The 23,288-nt window shown below is 34.5% G+C and overlaps 1 protein-coding gene across 10 annotated transcripts in view, besides 1 other annotated feature; it reads right to left on the bottom strand.

Moving 5' to 3' along the window:
* Window positions 1-23,288, bottom strand: part of IQCB1 (IQ motif containing B1) — a 65,300-nt gene that overhangs the window by 22,837 nt on the left and 19,175 nt on the right. For 5 of the 10 annotated variants that reach the window (NM_001319107.2, XM_005247911.5, NM_001023570.4 and 2 more), the window contains 5 exons: window positions 16,319-16,412; window positions 14,747-14,846; window positions 6,599-6,777; window positions 4,521-4,630; window positions 2,860-2,969 (listed from right to left, as the gene is read on the bottom strand). In NM_001319107.2, the coding sequence (NP_001306036.1) occupies window positions 2,860-2,969; window positions 4,521-4,630; window positions 6,599-6,777; window positions 14,747-14,846; window positions 16,319-16,412 (593 nt within the window). The remainder of the gene's footprint in view (window positions 1-2,859; window positions 2,970-4,520; window positions 4,631-6,598; window positions 6,778-14,746; window positions 14,847-16,318; window positions 16,413-23,288) is intronic. The other 5 variants (NR_134968.2, XM_047449253.1, XM_017007539.3 and 2 more) reach the window with 3 other exon arrangements.
* Window positions 2,360-2,409: an enhancer, noted in NCBI's record as "active region_20349". NCBI's record gives its function as "activates an Ori minimal core promoter by ATAC-STARR-seq in GM12878 lymphoblastoid cells {active_cell/tissue: GM12878}" and the evidence as "EXISTENCE:reporter gene assay evidence [ECO:0000049][PMID:35858748]".

Genomic DNA, 23,288 nt, shown 5'->3' on the forward strand with positions numbered 1-23,288 from the left:
CTTGCAGTGAGCCGAGATTGCGCCACTGCACTCCCGCCTGGGCCACAGAGCAAGACTCCGTCTCAAAAAAAAAAAAAAAAAAAAAAGTGAGATTTGGTGATTTAAATAGGGACTAAATTGTAAACAGGTGTGCTTATTGGATTCATATGTTTTACTTTCATATCTGAAAACATTTATTAGGAACTGAAGTGATTTTGAATGTAATTCCCCCATTTATTATTAAATAACATCGAGTTATTTTGTTCAGAGTTTCTCTAATCACTCAAAAATCAAACAATTATTCTTCCAACTGGTTTCTTTGTAAGAATTAGTAGGCACTGGACCACCTGGCATCTGTACTACACTTCTGAAGATGAAATGACTGATCAGATGTCATATTCTGAAATAAGTAAATTCCATGATTTACATTTAATCAATCTGAATTTTTACCATTAAAGTGGGAGTTGACCAAATTTTCTGCTGCCAAGACACTGTGCCTCAGAGGGAGAGAGAGAAAAAAGATGCTATCTGCATTTAAGAAGCTCAGTTTCAAGATGAAATCAACAAATGTAATTAAAACACTTAAAAATCAGCACTATGATAGAGGTAGGTAAATTGTGAGGTTTCTCTAAGATAACTAGAGCAGCTGTTAGCCGCTTCAGAAAACCTTGCTGAATAAGAGTACTTAAGAGACAAAGTTTCTGAATACGAGAAATGACTAAATAAAAAAGAAACCACTATGAAAGTGCATTAGCAAGGGCGTGACTATAAAAGAATGCCTCTTGCTGAATCTAAAGAACACTAATCAACCTGGACCCATAAGTGTGACCAGTGGGCAGTCTCTCTCCCAAAACCATGGGAAGGGGAAATTACTGAGATAAGTCCTGAGCACAAAAAGACAGAAATAACCTTTGAAAAAAAACCAAGCTACAAAGGAAGCAAGAGACATTTGCATGAACTGTTACAACTAATAGAAGAGCGAAGGTGCTGAACTGGAGAAAACTGAAAATTAAAAAATTAAATAGAATCCAACAGGTTAGAACCGCATTTCAGTATATTCTGGAACCTCAAATGCAAAAATACTGGAAAGGCAACAAACACAAAATGTGAGACTTAAATAATTTTTGCTTCACAGCTTATCTTTTTAATGGAAGTATTTATAACTCTTCTGGTTACATAAAGAAAGCAATGGAATTTCTATTTTAAAATAATGGAATATTAGATTCCATAGATACACTTCTAAGTAGAAAAAAATCTGTAATCCTGGGCTACTTTTAAATAGAGATTTTAATATTGAAAGAGAGAGTATATGAGCAAATTTGGGAACTCTTGTGGGACTAAACATTAATGCTCTGAATCCATGTATAAGGGTACCCTTAAATTTAAGATGACAGGTAACTAAGGATGATAGCAGGTGGAATCCATAAGTAATACCTACTCTATCTGAATTCACCACAGAGGCAATACCAAGAGCACCTCAGATGCTTTGGGTAGAAAAATATACACTGTGACTCAAAAAGTACTCAATATTTCCCAAATTTATCTAACCACAGAAATGCTTTTAAAAAAAAAACAGCTTGTAAGATAGGCAATAAACTTTGAGTAATAATAGATGGATAATACTTGCTTCTCATTAGTACTACCTATTTAATGCATCTATTTGTTTACCTAGATTTGTAAATTTTCAAGGACAGAAAATGTGCCATATGCATTTTTCCTTCTATCATTTTTTAAGTGCCAGATAATATGCTAAAAACTTTGTATTATCTCAAATTTTACATTATCTTGATCATACAAGTGTATAAACTATTATTCTCATTTTATAGATTGGAAGTTTGAGGCTGAGAGAGGTGGGGGATTGTCCAAGTTCACTCAACCAGTAAGCTGCTCAAGTGAGATACAAACTCGAATCTGTTAAATGCCTAGTACATATATCATATACTAGGCATTTGATATATATTTAAAAATTAATTCTTTTCTTTGCTACCAACAATATTCATGCCCAATAATATTTAAAATCCATCTTTAATTCTTCCCTGAAGAAAACGTTCATCAATTAATAGGATACCCACTAAGAGACACAGTTAGCTAGAGTGATTTCAATGTCTTCAACTCTGTGACTACATAGTATTTTGAACCCCAGAGCTATTTTTAAATGTTTTTATAACTGAGAAATGCATCTGCAGTTATTAAAAGAATAGTTTCAGTTTTCTTTAAAGAATTAACTTCTGTAAAATGCCAGTTTCATTTTAGCAAACTAAAGCTTGGCTTTAAGTTAGGCTGCATGAAAAAGTCACCTCTGAAACAGATCTTCTTTACCATAAATTACCTAGAAGCTAAGTTATTTTTTCTTGTTCTGTGACCTTGGAGGATCTGGATTGGTTAAGTCATTGCAGAAAGTGGGCTATGTCTTCAGTATTTCCTTTTCAGTCTACTTGAAATAAATGCCGAACTATATCATAATTCAATGAAGATATCCATCCATGCCATATTTATTCAGGAAAATCAGGTTAACAGACTTAAACTCTTATACGCATACATGTTATTGTTATAATTATACACACGAAATTATGATAACTGTTGGTTTAGAGGGTTTAATAATATAACTATCATTGGCTCCCTTTGTAGGCTTGGCCCCTCCCCAAATATCTTATTAAGTGGATAGGATTGCATATTTGACACATCAGATTCCTGTCTTACATCCTTTGCTTTGAAAGTGCATCTGGTTACTGGAGTGTTGGTACCCAGAAACGTATGGAAAAAAAATGAAAAGATAACAAGAAACATACTAGGAAATTAAAAAAAAATCACCTAAATTTCAATTCAACTGTACTCTAGTAAGATTCTATGATCATCAATCCCCTCACCAAATTTTTTTACCTGAAACTCCTCTGCAAAGCAATCACAGCAGATGGAAGCTTCTTTAATCTCTTTCTTGTCTGAAAACCCTTCCAATAGGCTTGAATCAAGCATGCTGCTTGATGTAGTTTCTGAAATGCCGAAAATAATTTAGAGATATCTCTAGGAAGGTCTTTAAAAAAAAAAAAAAGTTTACCTCTTAAAGTATCAGGTTAGGGCAAATATTAATCTCTAGCTCTAACAAGATGGGTAAGAATATTAAACCTTACCTCCCAAAGGAGGTATGTTAGGCTTGGTAAGGCAATTTCTAGAACATACTCAAGATATAGTCTAGTTAGCTCCAAATTCTCCCAGAATAATCTCACTTCCATTTCCTTTTCAAAGATTTCATAGTCCGCCTGACCTTTCATAATCTTTTTTGAGCTAACATGTTAATGTTTTTACTTAATAGGCAATCAACCTAGTTAGGTTCAAACTATAAGCTCTGTTGACCATTGTGGATGGTTGCTCGAATCTCTGTTTAGTTCTGTAAGCTTTTGATATGCTATTCTCCTGATAGACCATTGGGCTTAAAAGGTCAGTGAGCTGTCTGAGTTCTTGACTGAATTCTGTCCCAGTCTCCTGTTTACTTAATAGACTTCTGAGTCCTCAAATGGAATGGCAAAGGGTACAACTATTAATAATAAAATATAGTTTTATGATTTTGTTACCTAATCAATATGAATTTGAGCATATGCATAGTTTTGAGATTAATCTAAACTCACGATGGTTCATATATACAGAAAAAAGGAATTCCCTTCTTCTGCACTCTTCCTTCCAGCCTCCCCCAACCCATTCTCCTGCCTTACTGGACTTATTTTCATGGTTTCTGCTTGTATTTTTAAATTTATTGTCTTTTTGGTTTTGGATTTTGGATATACAATGTCCCCTTTTCCTTTTAAATTAAAAAATATCTTTAGTCATTTTAGATGTTTTCCATATTTAAGTCTTTATCTGGAAATCAGAAAGCAATATGCCTCTTCCTGTTGAATGGGCTATTTAGAGCCATCATTTTGAGTATGCTAGAGGAAGTATGATGAAATAATCAATAACTTGCTGCCTCAAATTTCTAAATAATTTTATTAATACCATTTCTTACACAAAGGAAAAGGCATTATTGTTGTATCTCAAAGAACAAGAAGGGTAGCCATAGGTAACCATAAATACAGTTTGCTACAATTAGAGATTTTTTTTGGAAAAACAGTTTTAAAAGTTTAAATAGCTTATAGATAAAAGAAGATAAACATCAGAGATGGGGCTTTCATGAGAAATGATGAATGAAACTGATGTGGCAGTATTTATAAACAGATGTAAATGGGAGATTGAAATTATGTTTTCCAGCAGATTGAATGGCGGAGAGATACAATTTTGTAACATTATATTTTAAAGATGGGGTTTTGCTATTTTGACCAGGCTGGGGTGCAGTGGCTACTCATGGGTGTGATCATAGGGCAGTCTCCAATTCCTGGACTCAAGCAATCCTCCTGCCTCAACCTCCTGAGTAAAAAATTTAAAGATATTTCTGTTTTGGGGGTATTTTGCTTGAAATCTTAAGAGAAAGAAAGTGAGGAACATTTAAGGAAAACTAAGGTTTAATATAGTCAGCAAATATCATGCAATTTTTTTTTTTTGTAACTTAATACCTGCTCTTCTACTTCCTGATAGACCATTGGGCTTAAAAGGCCAACAAGCTGTCTAAGTTCTTGACTGAATTCAGTCCCAGTTTCCTGTTTACTTAGTAGACGTCTGAGTCCTGAAATGGAATAGCAAAAGGTACAACTATTATTATAATAATAAAATATGATTTTGTTATCTAATCAGTATTAATTTGAAGCTAAAAAGTCTGGCTTAAAAACAAATGAAAACAAGATTAATCATATGATTTTTCTTTTTCCTTTTCTCAGAGAATTCCAGGTTGAAATCTTTAAGATATTCCTCCCTCCTGAGAATTCTTACGTGCTCAATTGTGGTATCTGATAAAAAAAAAAAAATCTGTCTAGACAATCTCTTTAATAAAAAAAAAAAAAAAGGAGTGGGATGGAATCACTGTGGTAAATCAAAAAGTAGAGATAAATTTTTTTTATTTGAACAAAAATACTTAAATGGAGACATTTTAAAGATAAATTACTACAGACACATATTCAGTAAATGCTTGCCCTGTGGAAGCACTTATGCAGATTATTATTAGTCATTATTAGTTGAAAAAGATTATTAAATATAAACATATGGTAACATATATAATTTGGGGCAAATCAATAGGTTCCTGGGAAAACATTATAGGTGAAGTGCTACAACACTAGGATAGTACATTTTCATGCCAAAATAATACATAGTAGTAGTGAAAGGTACAAAGTAAGTACTGTTTCCAGGGTACACTGAAATGATGTATTATAATGTGTGTATTCAAAATAAATACATAAGGTAAAATTGCCTTGTAGTGTATAATTGGGGAAACCACTATATGGATCTTTTAATGCCTTATACTCTCTTCAACACCCAAGTTCTCAGCAGTATTAATAATTGTAAAATATCTTCAGGAATCTGAATAAGTTCTGCTATTGAGATATAAGTCAAAGAAAGGGAGAAGGATTCAGGTAAAATTCCTTTATAACGACTCTGTTGGACATTCACATTTCTTTAGGAATTGAATTACAGAATTGAAAAATGTCTATCTGGCACAATATCAACTAAAGAGCTCTATTACTGGTACTTTCCTTCTCTATTCCTACAATACCCTCAGTAATGACTAATTCAAGGTACATTATTACAATGTCTTCAAAATCATCAAGAATGATAAAGACCTTTCTAGTTGTTTAGGTATTAAATGCATCATATTATATTCTAACCTTTAAAAATTCCCATACAGTATAACCCTATGTTAATAAGTATATTTAATGAACTAGAATCCCATTTCCTGACCACGCTGAATAAGAAAAATAGATTATAATACATACATGGCTCTGGTCAGCAAAGAAATAAAACAAAGATAACATATAACTTTGCTTGGCAATTAAACAATATATATACTACCTTTGTGATCTTGGGCAAATTACCATGTCTCTGTTTCTATATCTATAAAATAAGGATAAGAATATCTATCCCATAGGATTGTTGTAAAGATTAAACATTTTAATGCATATAAAGTATATGGAATGTGCCTGACACACAGTAAATGCTCAATTAAATGAAAGCTATTATATGAGAATGTATATACGCTTACTCCTTTTATCCTCAAAATTTCTGACTTTTAATTCACATATGTATTTGATTTTGGAGGTAAGGCAATTTTTTTTGTTTGTTTTTGAGGAAAGGCAGTGTTAAGTAATTATTGATAGTTCAAAATACCATAAGGGCCACTGGCCTCTCAAGCACAGCTCCATTTTCTCCACTAAAGCTGGTCTTGATAAGGTCACTGATCTTTTTGGTCATTATTTTACTATACTATATGGTATATTCAACACACAAAACCTTTTTGTCAGAGAGGGAGTAAATATTTATGGCAACCTGATCAGAAAAGTATCTTCCACATGCTATCTGTAGTGACATGAAGATAGCTTGATTATATAAAGACTTTTTTTTTTCTGAATTGGTATCTGTTGTGAGTTTTATCTACATAGGTCAGTTATCAACTCTTTAAAATATAAGAATTTTGTTTTTCATAAACCATCAATAAAAATTTTCTTTTTGAGAATCCCAAGAAAAGAAAGAATGAATGTACTACCTTTGTAGCAGGTACTTTGTCTCAGTAAAATCAAAATTTCCTGATGGGATTCAGCCATCAACAGTAGGAGTTTTGTAGCAGTACTTCTTATAACTGGACTAGGAGTTGAAAAAAGCTTGAAAATAACTTCATCTAAAATTGAATACAGGGCTTTTCTTCCTATTCTGAGTAAATCACCACTAATAGAACAAAATAAAAAAAAAAGTACCATTACTAATTGATGTACAGGTATCACAACAAATCTAAAATATAAGATTCAGTAACTTGATGCCGGACTGTGTCCTGATCCAAGAATATAACCACTTTTTCAAATATATGTTGGTTCCAAGAAGATATCATATTCAGTCACTTAATATTTATTGAATTCCTACTGTGTGCAAGGTGCCATGTGTGCTAGGTACAATAGAGAATACAAAGTAGCCAAAGGCCTTCTCCTTAGAGAAGCCTGCAATCAAATCAAGGATGAAATATAAATGTGCAAAATACTAAACAATAAATAATTTAAAAGCTTCAAGGCAATGATAAAAGTGAAATCAAGACAGGTACACAGTTAATTTTTAAATGATGTACAAAGACAAAAATGCCATAGGAATTCTATCATGTGCTTAATATAGGAGAAACTTAAAATCTTTCCTTGGTATTTCCTTCATTATACTAACAACCCATCTTGTATTACTGATGTTGTGAAAAATTATCTAAAACTTAGAAATAGTCAAAAGGAAAGGGTTAGTGAGTATCCTTTTATTTACCCCCTTAAGGAGTTATGTGATTTTCTAGGCGTATGTACCTCTGTTTAATTTTCTACTCACTATTAAAATACTTTACAATTCTGTAAAAATAGAGGTTGGCTGGTAGAAAACAATGCTAAAGATTCTTATCTAAGAGCAATGTAAACAGACTCTTATTCAAAGCAATACAAATGATTTCTGTCCAGTAGAAAAGGTAATTCTAGAAGCTACATTGCTTTATAAGTCATATTTTCCTATTAGCAAATTTTAAAAATCTATCAGCAAATTTACTTCTACATTTCTTCGACAAACCAACTCCATAAATCTATTTTCCTCAAATTCTCCTTTGACCCTGTATAAATATCTTATTTGTTCCCTCATTAATGAGTTGCATAAAATTTTGAGCAGTCAAATTTTATATTTGTATAAGACTCATGTTTGAGCTTTTTGAAAATTGTACTTTAGTAGTTACTAAAATAATTTTGTTAAGAGAAAAGAGATCAGCAACATACCTTAAATGTAAAAATCTCTGAGTTGAAAGACTTTATAAAGTTATCCAATCAAAATATGTGAGAATCTTTGTGACATCTACTTCTGTGCCACTGTGTCTCTTACATGCTATTCCCTATGCCTAGGATGCTCACCCTGTCCCATCAGTCAATGTCATCACACTATTCAAAACTCAGATTAAAAAATATGCTCATCTCAGAAAGCCTTCTACAGATATCCCTATCCCAATCTTATCACATCTTTACTCCATATCCCACCAAGAGTTTGTGCTATAATGTAATACAGTAGTTTAAATGCTTTTAGATGCTCTTCAACCTCCTAATCTTAAAGACATCCTCTCTATACCACTACCATCTTATCTCTCTGCTTCTCTTCTAATCCAATTTCTGTTGCCACTATCTCACATCTCATTTCTCAAACCACTGCATCTAGTTTTCATTTTTTACTATTTCACTATACTATCCTTGATAAGTTCATCAGTATAACTTCCCAAATGTCAAGTCACATATATACCATAAGTGATTCTTTTCCTAGACTTGTTTGTATCTGATACTTTCTACTTACTCAGCTTCTGTGATACAAAGTTCTGGTCTCCCCTCTACCTTCCACCCATACTTTTCTGACCATTCTTTTTCATTTGTCTTTGTGGGCTCCACTTCCCCAGTATAACCCTAAAAGGTTATTCCCCAAGACTCCATTTTCAAGCCATTTATTTTCTCATTGTATTCACACTTCCTACTAATCTCACTTTCTGTCATGTTTTTCTCTACCATGTATAAGCTGATTTGTAAATCTGTAACTCTAGTCCCAATCTCTTCCAGAAGTTAGTTTACCTATTCACCTGATGGACATTTGAGTTTTAGCTAGTCCTTGTTTTTCACAAATAAAGCTCAATGAACATTTGTGTATAAGTCTTTATATAGATACTTACTTTTACTGCATGTTGAACTACCTATACTCAACATAACCAACATTGAATTAATCATCTGTCTCACAAAACCAACTTCTTATATATTCCACATACCACAGTCTAATCACCCAATACAGAAAACTTGGTATCATATCTGACTGCACCATTTATTTTATCTACCCCATATCAAAACATTCACCAAGTCATCATAATTTTTGTTTTAAACAGCTTTTTAAAAATATAATTGATATACAACAAACTGCATATATGTAAAGCATATAATTTCATCAGTTTGACATGTTTCACCAACATAAAACAAGAAAATGAATATATCTATCACCCCTAAAAGCTTCCTTGTATTTCATTGTAGTTCCTCCCTTGTTGCCTTCCCTATCATTCTATGCCCAGGAAACCACCGATCTGCTTTCTGAGAAAGTTCCCTTGTATTACTACTTTGCTGCAAGGCCTTTTTTTTTTTTTTTTTTTTTAATTAAAATCAGGGCTAGATAATGGATTTTGTCAAAAGCTTTTTCTGTATCTACTGATATGATGGTATGTTTTTTCCATTTTTAGCTTGTTAACATAAGTTACAATGACTGACTTCAGAATATTAAACCAGCCCTGAATGCCGGGATAAACCAGAATTATTCATGACGTATTAACTTTTTAATATATTGTTGAATTTGACTTATAAAATTTTGTTCAGAACATTTCTATCTATGTTTATGAATATACTGATGAGTAGTTTTCTTTTCTTATAATGTCTTTGTTTGGTTTTGGTATCAGGATAATGCTGACCTTATAGAATGAGTTGTAAGTGTTTCCTCCTTTTCGATTTTCTAGAAAAGTTTGCTTAAGATTATTATTTCTTCCTGAAGTGCTTAATAGAATTCACAGTGAAAAAGCCATCCAGACCTGGAGTTCTCTTTGTGGGAAGGTTTTTAGCTACAAATTCAATTTTTTTTTATAGCTATCTAGAGTATATTTGGGTTCTCTATTGCTCCTTGAGTAAATTTTGGTAGTTTGCGTCTTTCAATAAATTTGTCCATTTGATCTAAGTTGTTAAATTTATAAGCATAAAGTTGTTTATATTATTCCCTTGTGATATTTTTAGTATTTGTAGACTCTGTTACGATGTTACCTCTCTAATTCCTGAGATTGGTCATTTGTATTATGTCTTTTCCTTTCCATATTAATCTTGCTACAGGTTTCTTCTCAAAGAGCCAGTTTATGGTTTGTTTTCTCAAAAAACTTCAATCTTCCCAAAGATCCAGTTTATGGTTTATTTCTCTATCACGTTTGCTTAGAATTTTATTGATTTCTGCTCAACCTTTATCATTTTCTTTCTTCTGCTTAGAGTTTAATTCCCCCTTCTTTTCCTAGTTTCTTAAAGGGGAAAGCCGAGGTCAATGATTTGAGATTTTTCTTCTTTTCTAATATATAGGCATTAGTGATATAAATTTCCCCTAAGTATCATTCTGCTTTAATTAAGAATTTCCCCAGAAATTCTCATGTTGTTTTTATTTCCATTCATTTAAAAATAATTTCTAATTTCACTTTTGATTTCTCCTTTGTCTTGTGAGTTATTTAGATGAATGTTATTATTTCCCACATATTTGGGGACTTTTCAGAGATCTTCTTGGCATCAATTTCCAACTTAATTCCATCGAGGCCAGAGAACATACTTTGTATAACTGAAATCCTTTTACGTTGCTTTTTTCTTTTTTTTGAGACAGGGTCTTGCTCTGTTGCCTAGGCTGGAGTGTAGTGATGTGATCTCAACTCACCGTAACCTCTGCTTCCTGGGCTCAAGAGATTCTCCCACCTCAGCATCCCAAGTAGCTGGGACTAGAGGCACCTGCCACCATGCCCAGCTAATTTTTTGTACTTTTTGTAGAGATGGGGTTTTGCCATGCTGCCCAGGCTGGTCTGGATCTCCTGGACTTAAGTGATCTGCTCACCTCAGCAAAGTGCTGAGATTACAGGTGTGAGCCACCGTGCCCGGCCCCTTTTGTGTTTCTTGAGACTTTATTTATGGCTCGGAATATGCACCCTTCTTTGTAAATGTTCCATCTGCATTTGAAAAGAACATGTATTCTGCTACTGTTTGGTAGAATATTTGTAAAATGTCAATCAGGTCAGATTGGTTGATATTATTGTTCAAATCTGTGGTCATACTAATTTTTTTGTCTACTTATTCTATTAAATATCAAAAGAGGTATATTAACATCTTTTGCTTTAATTGAGGATTTCTCCTTGTAGTTCTTGTCAATTTTTGCTTGTGTATTTTAAAACTCTATTAGGTCAATAAACACATCCTTTTGATGAACTGACTTTTTTTATGATTATGAAATAACCTTCTTTAGCACTAGAAATATTCTTTGTTCTGTAACTTACTTTATCTGATACTAATACAGGTACTTCAACTTTCTGTGGTATAAGCACGGTATATCTTGTTCCACCCCATTACTTTTAACCTACTTGTGTCTTTATATCTAAGGTGCATTTCTGGTAGACAGCATATAGTAGGCTTGTACTTTTTAAATCCAATCTGTCAATCTGTCTTTTAACTTTAGTTTTTCCACATTTACATCTAAGATAGATAGGTTTAAATCTACCACTTGGTTTTGTTTCTCCTTTGTTCTTCTTTTTTTTTTACTTCCTTCTTCTGGATTGCGTATTTTTTAATGATTAATTTTTATTGCCTTTGTTGGCTTATCAGCTGTAAATTCTTTGTTTTGCTATTTTCTTCACTGCTTTGAGGTTCAAAGTATACATTTCAATTTCTCACAGTCTTATCACTTATCACAGTGATATTATACCACTTCATGTATAGTATAAGAGTCTTACATCAGTATACTTCCATTTATCTCCTCCCAGCCTTAATGCCCTTTTGGAATACATTCTACTTATACATATGTTCCTCAAATACAGCATTATTTTTGTGTAGGCAAACATATTATAGATATATTAAAATAATATAAGAAAAACTATCTTATATGTTTATGTAATCACCATTTCCGATACTCTATTTCTTTGTGTAGATGAATTTCCCTTCTGATGGAAGGACTTCCTTGAATATTTTTTGTAGTGTTGGTCTGCTGGTGATTTCTGAAGAAGTATTTCATCTTTGCTTTTGAATATATTTCTGCTGAGCATGTAATTCTAATTTGACAGTTTTCTTTTTCAGTATTCAACTGTCTTTTTACTTGTGTTGTTTCTGATAAGAAAGTTGCTGTCATCCTTATCTCTATTTCTCTATATAATGTTTTTTCATCTCTGGTTGCTTTTAAGATTTTTCTCTTTATCACTGGTTTGAGCATTTTGATTACGATGTGCCTCAATGTGGAATTTTCTTCATATTTATTGCCCTCAGGGTTTGACGACCTTTTTGCATCTGCATGTTTATAGTTTTCATCAAATTTGGAAAATGTTAAGTCATTACTTCTTCACACATTTTTTTGTGACCCTACTGCCTGCTTTACGTACTCTGATTACACTTATGTAAGGTTGCTCAAGTTGTCCCACAGTTCACTGATATGCTTTTCTTTCCTCTTGTTTCTTCTTTGTTTCATTTTGGATAGTTTCTACTGATACGCCTTAAAGTTCACTAATCTGCAATGTTAATCTGCTGTTAATCCCATCCAGTGTATTTTTCATCTCAGATATTGTAGATTTCATGTCTAGAAATTCACTTTGAGTCTTATATGTCTGTATTCAACTTTTTAAATATATGGAGTATGGTTATAATAACTAGTGTCCTTGTCTGTTAATTCCAACATATGTACCAGTCTTGATTAATTCTTCTCATTTTAGATCCTGTTTTCTTGTTTATTTGCATGCCCAGTACTTCAGTACCAGTAAAATCAAATCACCCGTTGAATCGTAGTATGTTTTGTAGCATAGTCATGACTGTATAATCTATCATGTATCAGTACTGCAAGATACATGCAGTACTGCAAGTAGTTATCAGTAACTGCAAGAAATAGTCATTTTACAGTAATAAAGAAATAGAAAAAAAGAGTCATCAAAGCAAATATTCTATGATGGCACAAGTGGGATTTTTCTCATCCTTTTTAAAGCCAAATCGAAGGATAGCCATTTCTAGTGAACTTCCTACCTTTGTATAACCTACAATAAAATTAATTTTAAAATACAGCCAGGTTCAATAACCACATGCAGTTAAGTTACTTGGAAACAGTTTGACCCTTTTGGGTCTTGCTTTTATGATCTGGAATAGTGCTCATTCTAATGCTAATTATTCCTCACTACTGGAGTAAAACCTTCCTGAACACTCTACCCAATGACGCACTGTTTATGAGGCTTTCCAGTTTGGCTGTTGGAAACAGGCACTATTTCTGGCCCTGTGTGAGCTCCTTGCACTGTTCCTTTTAATCCTTTTGGATTATTGTTTTCCCTGGCATTGGGTATTCCTTACAATGTGCAGATCAGTACTCTACTTAATACTTGAAGGATACCCTCTGCAGATCTCTGGGGTTCTCTACATGTATAGCTCTCTTCTCTAGTATTCTGACTTGTGAACTCTAGTTATCTTGTTCTCTCCAGACTCTGAGCTCTATCACTTCAACTCAAGCTGGCTGGGATGCCTCTCCCTATACTTCAACCTGGAAACTCTCTCAATACTGTAAGTTAGAGCAATTGTAAGATTCACCTTGTTTATTCCTTTTTCTCTGGGCTTACTTTCTTTCACTGACTGATACCCAGTTTCTCAAAAAATTATGTGTCATGTTTTTGTCCTTTTTTTCAGGTGGGAGGATAAATGCATCCCTACTATTCCATCTTGATCAGAAGTGGAAGTAAAGTCCTGATGATTTTAATTCATTATTTTAAAACCTCCATATCCCAGGTACCAATGCCCAAGGACAAGTTATCATTACTTCACTTGGATTAGTATGATTGCCTTTTGTGTCTAGAGTTTTCTTCCCCTTAATCTACCTTCACATAGTCACCAGAGTAACAAAATTGAAATGTAATCTGACCACTTTCGTCTACTTTAAAAATCTTCAATGGTCCCCGTTGCCTATAGGATTAGACTCCGTTTCCTCAACACAGCATATAAATTCTTCATGACTTTGAGTCTCAGCCGAGCTTGCTAGTCACCTCCCTATATGGAACTTTATATCCCAACAATAATGAATTTGTACCTACTTTTCATCCTCAGCATGTTGTTTCTTATCTCTGTGCTTTTGTTTATGTTGCCTGGAATTACTGCTTTCTCTTTCTCCTCTTCCTCCCTGGCCAATATACCATCCTTGAAGTTTCATCTCAGATATTACCTTCTCCAGGAAGCACCTCCCCTCGGTTTGGGTTAGAAGGTCCTTTAACATTTATGGTCACTTTTAATATTGTAATTTAATGTATACAATGATGTTTGTGTTTTCCATTCTATTGTAAGCTCTTTGAAGACAAGGTTTATATCTTAATCAACTCTATAATTGCAATGACAGACAGCAGCTGCATAATAAATTCATACTAAACTGAAAGAATGGATTATTTCAATTGTGTATACTCTGCCCTTCCATGTTACCCTGAATAATTGCCAATTGCTTCTTTTATACCCTTCTTGAGCATCTGTAAAAATACCAAGCTTGAAGTTTATTAAATAAATGTGATTAAACATTTTTTGTTGTGATCTCAATATTTTTCTTCAGATTATCACACTAATTCTCTTCTTTAAGCCTGAGATTTGAGCTAAAAATCTTAAGCTCTGGTATAAGGTATCAATTTAATAATAAATTTCCAGTCTTTTGTAGTATTTTATATTAATTTTTCTGAAAGACAATGGTGATGGAACTTCAGCATTATATACAAGTATATAGTGCATATACTTGTATATACATTATATACGAGTATATAGTGCATATACTTGTATATACATTATATACAAATCATATGCGGTCAATTTTAGCAAAATTGGAATAAAATTGGTAATGCTTCTGATAAAAAAAAAGCAGTAACATTTTGTAAAAACCAAGTCACCTGTTGATCTGTAGTATATTCTGTAGCATCATCATGACTGCAGATCCTATTTGGACATTGTCAGCTTGCAGTAAATGTAAGAAATGATCACTTTGTAGTACTAAAGGAAAAGAAAAAAAAAGAAAGATTAAAGTAAAGATTTTATGATAACAAAGGAAGATTTTGTTCTTTTCAAACCAAATCAAAGCATGACCATCTCTGCTAAACTTTCTGACTTTGTAGACTCTACGATAAAGAAGACTTTAAGATGTAAAATTCATGGCAATTTTAAATAGCGATAAATAAGTCATTTCATTTTTATGAATATAGTCAGAAAATAGGCATAAATACTAAGCTAAGAATCTATTGTTATCTCTTTAAATTGAAAATATCATATCCTAAATCTGAATCTTTTTCTTCTATCAATGAATTTCAGTGAATAAAAACAAATTTCCTGCAAAGACAGAATATAAGGAAACGGAAATGGCACAGATGACTATAATTGGTTGCTCACAACCTTAAAAAATTTAATTTTGTGACATATTGTTTTATATAATAATGAATACGCTAACTACAAAAATTTCCTTTTATTGATTTGTAATCTTTAAGCTCTGAGCAGCCAGTTATAACGATTTAGCACTGGATACTTATACAAGTTGCTTAACCTCTTAGAAACCATTTCTTCATCTGTAAAACTAGAAATAATAGCTCTCACATGAGCTAATGTAAAATATCCTAGAACAGGGAACATTTCTAATAAATGTCAGTTTCCATTCCATTCCATGCTCAATAACTGAGCATAACTACCAAAGGTATTAGTTATACTAACTGAACGTAGTTGCCTTTGGAAAATGGGAAATGGAGTGGGCATGAGGGTCAGGGATTGTGTGTGTTTTAATGATCCTTACAGAACTATTTGACTCTTTAAATTATGTGCATGCAATGATTCTGAGGAGAAAAGCTTAAAGTAAAATTTCAGTTCAAGTATTACTTAAAAAATATTCTTAAGAGTGTTACATCTATATTAGATGAAATTTTTCTAGGGAGAGCACCATGAATGTAACTAAGAATTATTTTTTCAGTCTTAAGAAAACATAAAACTCATACATGTTTATATCTCTCAATGTAAACAGAAATATCCTATAACTTCCAAGTTTACTAAAAGGTCATTAAATAAAAGCTTACTCTTACTTGGATAGTTAGACTATATGAGTTAAATCATATCCACCCTGAACATAGGGATTTCTCTCATGATAGGTCTAAAACACTGACTGTAATCTTTTAAACTTAAAAGTTATTTTTAGGAATAAACTGCTCAAATTATCATTTGTCTTTATCTTAGATTTGCTAAACAGAAAAAGCTAAAGTTTTATTTCAACAGTATTCTCCTTAATTTAATATTCACATTGTTGATGTAGGCTATGTAAAACTGGAATATCCATTTTAAAAAATTGTGAGCTTATTTCAACATGGTTTCATTTCAGTGTGGTTATCTGCACAGTTCATGTGGCATTTGTTTTTGGAAAAAACGATCAAACTGTTAGCAGTTGACTCTACAATAGCTATTAGTTACATTAAAATCTTTTCTCTTACCATTCTGAATAAGTTCAACATGGCCTCCCAAAAGCCAGAAGAGAGAATCAGTCACAATTTGGAAAAAGTGTAGTAATTCATCTTTTTCTTCAGCCTTAACATAAAAGATAAGCCCAGTTTACTTTTCTATAGTTTTTTTCCTTTTTTTTTTTTTTAAGGAGACTTCTCTCTGGGGAGTTAGAGGATACAGTTTCTGGATCTAACTTAGCTATTTATGAGGGACATGATTTTGTTGCCTTTAGTTTCTTAATTTGTAAAACTTGTGGTTACAGGATAGTAATATCTACTAGAAATGGTTGTTATCCAGATAAAATAAAACAACATAAGTAGTGTAAGGGCTACAAGTTGATACACTAGGATGTCTTAATACTTGCTATGCATCAGAATCACCTGTTGAGCTTTTTAAATACATCTATGCACAAGCTTTAGTTCAAATATACTGAATTTGAATCTCCAAAGGCAGTCTGGATATCTGTACTTGCACAAAGTTAGGTGGTTGATTTGGTTTTACAACTTGGGTGAAAATAACTGCAATATGCAAATGTAGATGTCAGCATGAGAAGCATTATTAATAGTGTATTTCAGTTCCAGTTTCTACTCATAAGTTTAGGAGGGCAAAGATCGTGTCATTTAGCTCCCCATACAAACTCAGTTTCTAGGACAGTTCTGACACATAGTAAATGTTCAATCAACATTTAGTCAACAAATAAATGACAGTTTTTTCTGGCTCTTCCTTTCTGGAAAGTAGGGTGAGAAATTATTATAAATTAGAGTGCCACAAGGAGAAATAAGAAGTATAGATTCCATTTACAATTTTGTCATTTATTGGCCATGTAACTTTAGTGGAATGTTGGATAAAGGTCACTAATCTTATCCATGTCCTGAATGTTTGTACTATAGCACAAAAGTAATGATGAGACCCGCAAAAATATTATGATTGCCATGATTATTCTTTATAATAATGAAAGTATTTTTTTCCTAATATCCTAGGAATATTCTAGGACAAGTGCTGACTTGAATATAACAATGGAAAAAAAAAAAACCCATAAGAAACGTCACATTAGAGCAAGAATCCTTTTATCCTTTTAGTTCAGGAAGCTACCTTTGCCAGAGTTTTACCTAAAGATACATCAGAAAGGGCATGGTAATTCTCATTGTTGTCAATCCCAAAAGATAGTGTTGTACTCTTAGACTTCCTACTTTCCTTAAAATGCACATTAGATAATGTCACCCACAAATTCATGGTTCTTGAGGCAGGTTAACAAAATTTACCTTTAAATCGAAATTCTCACATATACTCACACAAAACCACTTTGTATTTTAGGTCAGAACGTGTATGTCCCACCATATGATCTACTAACTATGTACTATCTAATTAAAACAAAAATCTGATTGAAAAGCTCCTAGGTAAATAGACTAATAAATTAATTCAAGTTTTTGCCACATCTTTTTTATGCCCCTGTTTTAATTTTGCCCTGTGGTTAAGTGGCCTTACTTTTTCTGTAGCCAATTAATTCTTGGATAACATTAAAGAATCTTTATCTCAATAAAAATACAATAATAAAGGACAGAAAAATATTATGAAAAGTATTAAGGATTCTATAAATGAAAATAATTAACTGAATAAGTATATTTATAATGAAAGTAATATACAAATACATAACATATTAATACATAATTTTAATAATATATAAGGAAAAAGAATTATTAATGCTCTTAAATAGGAATATTAAATAAAGGTGCTTTGAAGAAAAGATAAAGCTTACATAATGGTCTGAGCTATTAATGGGACAGAAATTATTTTACAAATGAGGAAAATGAGATACAGTGAAATCCAGTGATTTGCTATAGAACCTAGAGTTAGTTTGTGGCACAGCCAGCAAAAGAAATCAAATCCAACACAATTCCTATAGTTTATGTGGCTTCAACTAACCTGAATTAAACTAAATCTAGCAAATATTTATTTAGTGCTAACATCCCACAAAATGCCAGTGGAGATATCAGAAATGGAATTTGTAACCTGTTACATGGAACACATATGCTCTACCACTGAGTTAAATTCTCTGCCAGGGGGATCTGGCAAGATGGTTGAAGAGGAACAGCTCTGGTCTGAAGCTCTCAGCAATAGCAATGCAGAAGGCAGTGATTCTGCATTTCCAACTGAGGTACCCAGTTCATCTCATTGGGACTGGTTAGACAATGGGCGCAGCCCACAGATGGCAAGCAGAAGCAGAGTGGGGCATTGCCTCACCTGGGAAGTGCAAGGGGCTGGGGACCTCCCTCCCCTAGCCAAGGGAAGGGAGGGACTGTGCTATCTGGCCCAGATACTACGTTTTTCCCATGGTTTTTGCAACCCACAGACCAGGAGATTCCCTGTGTGCCTAAACCACCAGGGCCCTGGGTTTCAAGCACAAAACTGGTCAGCTGTTTGGGCAGACACTGAGCTAGCTGCACGAGTTTCTTTTTGTACCTCAGTGGTGGCTAAAACCCCAGCAAGACAGACTGTTCACTCCCCTGGAAAGGGGTCTGAAACCAAGGAGCCAAGAGGTCTTGTTCAGCGGGTCCCACTCCCACGGAGACCAGCAAGCTAAGAACCATTGCCTTGAAATTCTCGCTCCCAGCACAACAGTCTGAAGTCGACCAACCTGGGACAACTGAGCTTGGTGGTGGGAAGGGCATCCACCATTACTGAGGCTTGAGTCGGCAGTTTTCCCCTCACAGTGTTAAGGAAGCCACTGGGAAGTTTGGACTGGGTGGAACTCACTGCAGCACAGCAAGGCAGCTGTGGCCAGACTGCCTCTCTAGATTCCTCCTCACTGGGCAAGTCATCTCTGAAACAAAGGCAGCAGCCCCAGTAAGAGGCTTATACATAAAACTCCCATCTCCCTGGGACAGCGCACCTGGGGACAGGGGAGACTGTGGGTGCAGTTTCAGCAGACTTAAATGTTCCTGCCTGCCAGCGCTGAAGAGAGCGGCGCATCTCCCAGCACAGTTGATATACTGAATTTGAATTTGTTAGTGCTAGAGCTCTGCTAAGGAACAGAATGCCTCCTCAAGTGGGTCCCTGACCCTGTGCCTCCAGACTGGGAGACACCTCCAAACAGGAGAGCTCTGGCAGGAATCAGGCAGGTGCCACTCTGAGACGAAGCTTCCAGAGGAAGGAGGTGTGAGTAATATTTGCTGTTCTACAGCCTCTGCTGCTGATACCCAGGCAAACAGGGTCTGGAGTGGACCTCCAGCAAACTCCAGCAGACCTGCAGAAGAGGGACCTGTTAGAAGGAAAACTAACAAACAGAAAGCAATAACATCAACATCAACAAAAAGGACACCCACACAAAATCCCCATCCAAAGGTCATCAGCATCGAAGATCAAAGGTAGACAAATCCATGAAGATGAGGAAAAACCAGCACAAAAAGGCTGAACATTCCAAAAACCAGAACGCCTCTTCTCCACCAAATGATCGCGATTCCTCCCCAGCAAGGGCAAAAACTGGACTGAGAATGAGTTTGATAATTAACAAAAGTAGGCTTCGGAAGGTGGGTAATAACAAACTCCTCTGAGCTGAAGGAGCATGTTCTAACCCAGTGTAAGGAAGCTAAGAACATTGAAAAAAGGTTAGACAAATTGCTAACTAGAATAACCAGTTTAGGAGAACATAAATGACCTGATGGAGCTGAAAAACACAGCATGAGAACTTCATGAAGCATACACAAGTATCAATAGCCAAATTGATCTAGCAGAAGGAAGGATATAAGAGAATGAAGATCAACTTAATGAAATAAAGTGTGAAGACAAGATTAGAGAAAGAAGAATGAAAAGAAATGAACAAAGCCTCCAAGGAATATGGAACTATGTGAAAAGACAAACATACGATTGCTTGGTGTACCTGAAGGTGATGGGGAGAATGGAACCAAGTTGGAAAACACTTCAGGATATTATCCAGGAGAACATCCCCAACCTAGCAAGACAAGCCAACATTCAAATTCAAGAAATACAGAGAATACCACTAAGATACTCCTCGAGAATAGTAACCCCAACACACTTAATTGTCAGATTCTCCAAGGTTGAAATGAAGGAAAAAAATCTTAGGGGCAGCCAGAGAGAAAGGTCAGGTTACCTACAAAGGGAAGCCCATCAGACTAACAGCGGATGTCTCTGCAGAAACCCTACAAGCCAAAAGAGAGTGGGGGCCAATAATCTACACTCTTAAAGAAAATAATTTTCAACCTAGAATTTCATATCTAGCCAAACTAAGCTTATGAAGCTTATGAAGGAGAAATAAAATCCTTTATAGACAAGCAAATGCTGAGAGATTTTGTCACCACCAGGGCTGCCTTACAAGAGTCCTGAAGGAAGCACTAAATATGGAAATTAAAAACTGGTACCAACCACTGCAAAAGCATACCAAAATACAAAGCCCCATGACACTATGAAGAAACTGCATCAACTAATGTGCAAAATAACCAGCCAGCATCATAATGACAGGATCAAATTCACACATAACAATATTAACCTTAAATGTAAATGGGCTACATGCCCCAATTAAAAGACACAGACTGGCAAATTGTATAAACTGTCTAAACCCATCTGTGTGCTGTATTCAGGAGACCCATCTCACATGCAAATACACACATAGGCTCAAAATAAAGGGATGCAGGAATATTTACCAAGCAAATGGAAAGCAAAAAAAAGCAGGAGTTGCAATCCTAGTCTCTGATAAGACAGACTTTAAACCAACAAAGATCAAAAAAGACAAAGAAGGGCATTATGTAATGGTAAAGGGATCAATGCAACAAAAAGAGCTAACTATCCTAAATATATATTCACCCAATACAGGAGCACCCAGATTCATAAAGCAAATTCTTAGAGACCGACAAAGAGACTTAGACTCCCACACAATAATAGTGAGAGACTTTAACACCCCACTGTCAATATTAGACAGATCAATGAGACAGAAAATTAACAAGGATATTCAGGACTCGAACTCAGCTCTGGACCAAGCGGACCTAATAGACATCTACAGAACTCTCCACCCCAAATAAATAGAATATACATTCTTCTTAGCACCACATCGCACTTATTCTAAAATCGACCACATAATTGGAAGTAAAACACTCCTCAGCAAATGCAAAAGAACAGAAATCATAACAAACAGTCTCAGTCCACGGTGCAATCAAATTAGAACTCAGGATTAAGAAACTCACTCAAAACCACACAATTACATGGAAACGGCACAAGCTGCTCCTGAATGAGTACTGGGTAAATAACCAAAGGCAGAAATAAATAAGTTATTTGAAACCAATGAGAACAAAGACACAATGTGCCAGAATCTCTGGGACTCAGCTAGAACAGTGTGTAGAGGGAAATTTACAGCACTAAATGCCCACAGGAGAAAGTGGGAAAGATCTAAAATCGACACCCTAACATCACAATTAAGAGAACTAGAGAAGCAAGAGCAAACAAATTCAAAAGCTAGCAGAAGACAAGAAATAACTAAGATTAGAGCAGAACTGAAGGAGATAGAGACACGAAAAACCCTTCAAAAAATCAATGAATCCAGGAGCTGGTTTTCTGAAAAGATTAACAAAATAGACCGCTAGCCAGACTAATAAAAAAGAAAGGCGAGAAGAATCAGATAGACACAATAAAAAATGATAAAGGGGATATCACCACTGATCCCACAGAAATACAAACATCAGAGAATACTATAAACACCTCTACACAAATAAACTAGAAAATCTAGAAGAAATGGACAAATTCCTGGACACATACACCCTCCCAAGACTAAACCAGGAAGAAGCTGAATCCCTGAATAGACCAATAACAAGTTCTGAAATTGAGGCAGTAATTAATGGCCTACCAACCAAAAAAAGCCCAGGACCAGACGGATTCACAGCTGAATTCTACCAGAGGTACAAAGAGGAGCTGGTACCATTCCTTCTGAAACTATTCCAAACAATACAAAAAGAGGGACTCCTCCCTAACTCATTTTCTGAGAGCAGGATCATCCTGATACCAAAACCTGTCACAGACACCACAAAAAAAGAAAATTTCAGGCCAGTATCTCTCATGAACATCAATGCGAAAATCCTCAATAAAATACTGGCAAACCGAATCCAGCAGCACATCAAAAAACTTATCAACTATGATTAAGTCGGCTTCATCACTCAATGCAAGGATGGTTTAACACATGCAAATCAATAAAAGTAATCCATCACATAAACAGAACCAATGACAAAAATCACATGATTATTTCAATAGATGCAGAAAAGGCCGCCAATAAAATTCAACACCCCATTCATGCTAAAAACTCTCAATGAACTAGGTATCGATGGAACATATCTCAAAACAATAATAACTATTTATGAGAAACCCACAGCCAACATCACACTGAATGGGCAAAAGCTGGAAGCATTCCCTTAGAAAACCAGCACAAGACAAAGATGCCCACTCTCTCCACCCCTATTCAACATAGTATTGGATGTTCTGGCCAGGGCAATCAGGCAGGAGAAAGAAAGTGTATTCGAATAGGAAGAGAGAAAGTCAAATTGTCTCTGATTGCAGATGATATGACTGTATATTTAGAAAACCCCATCGTCTCAGCCCAAAACCTCCTTAAGCTGATAAGCAACTTCAGCAAAGTCTCAAGATACAAAACCAATCTGCAAAAATCACAAGCATTCCTATACACCAATGATAGACAAACACAGAGACAAATCATAAGTGAATTCCCATTCACAATTGCTACAAACAGAATAAAATACCTAGGAATACAACTTACAAGGGACATGAAGGACCTCTTCAAGGATAACTACAAAACACTGCTCAAGGAAATAACAGAGGACACAAACAAATGGAAAAAAAATTCCATGCTTATGGATAGAAAGAATCAATATCGTGAAGATGGCCATACTGCCCAAAGTAATTTATAGATTCAATGCTATTTCCATCAAACTACCATTGACTTTC

Source organism: Homo sapiens, chromosome 3, assembly GCF_000001405.40.
Source record: "Homo sapiens chromosome 3, GRCh38.p14 Primary Assembly".
Taxonomy (NCBI): domain Eukaryota; kingdom Metazoa; phylum Chordata; class Mammalia; order Primates; family Hominidae; genus Homo; species Homo sapiens.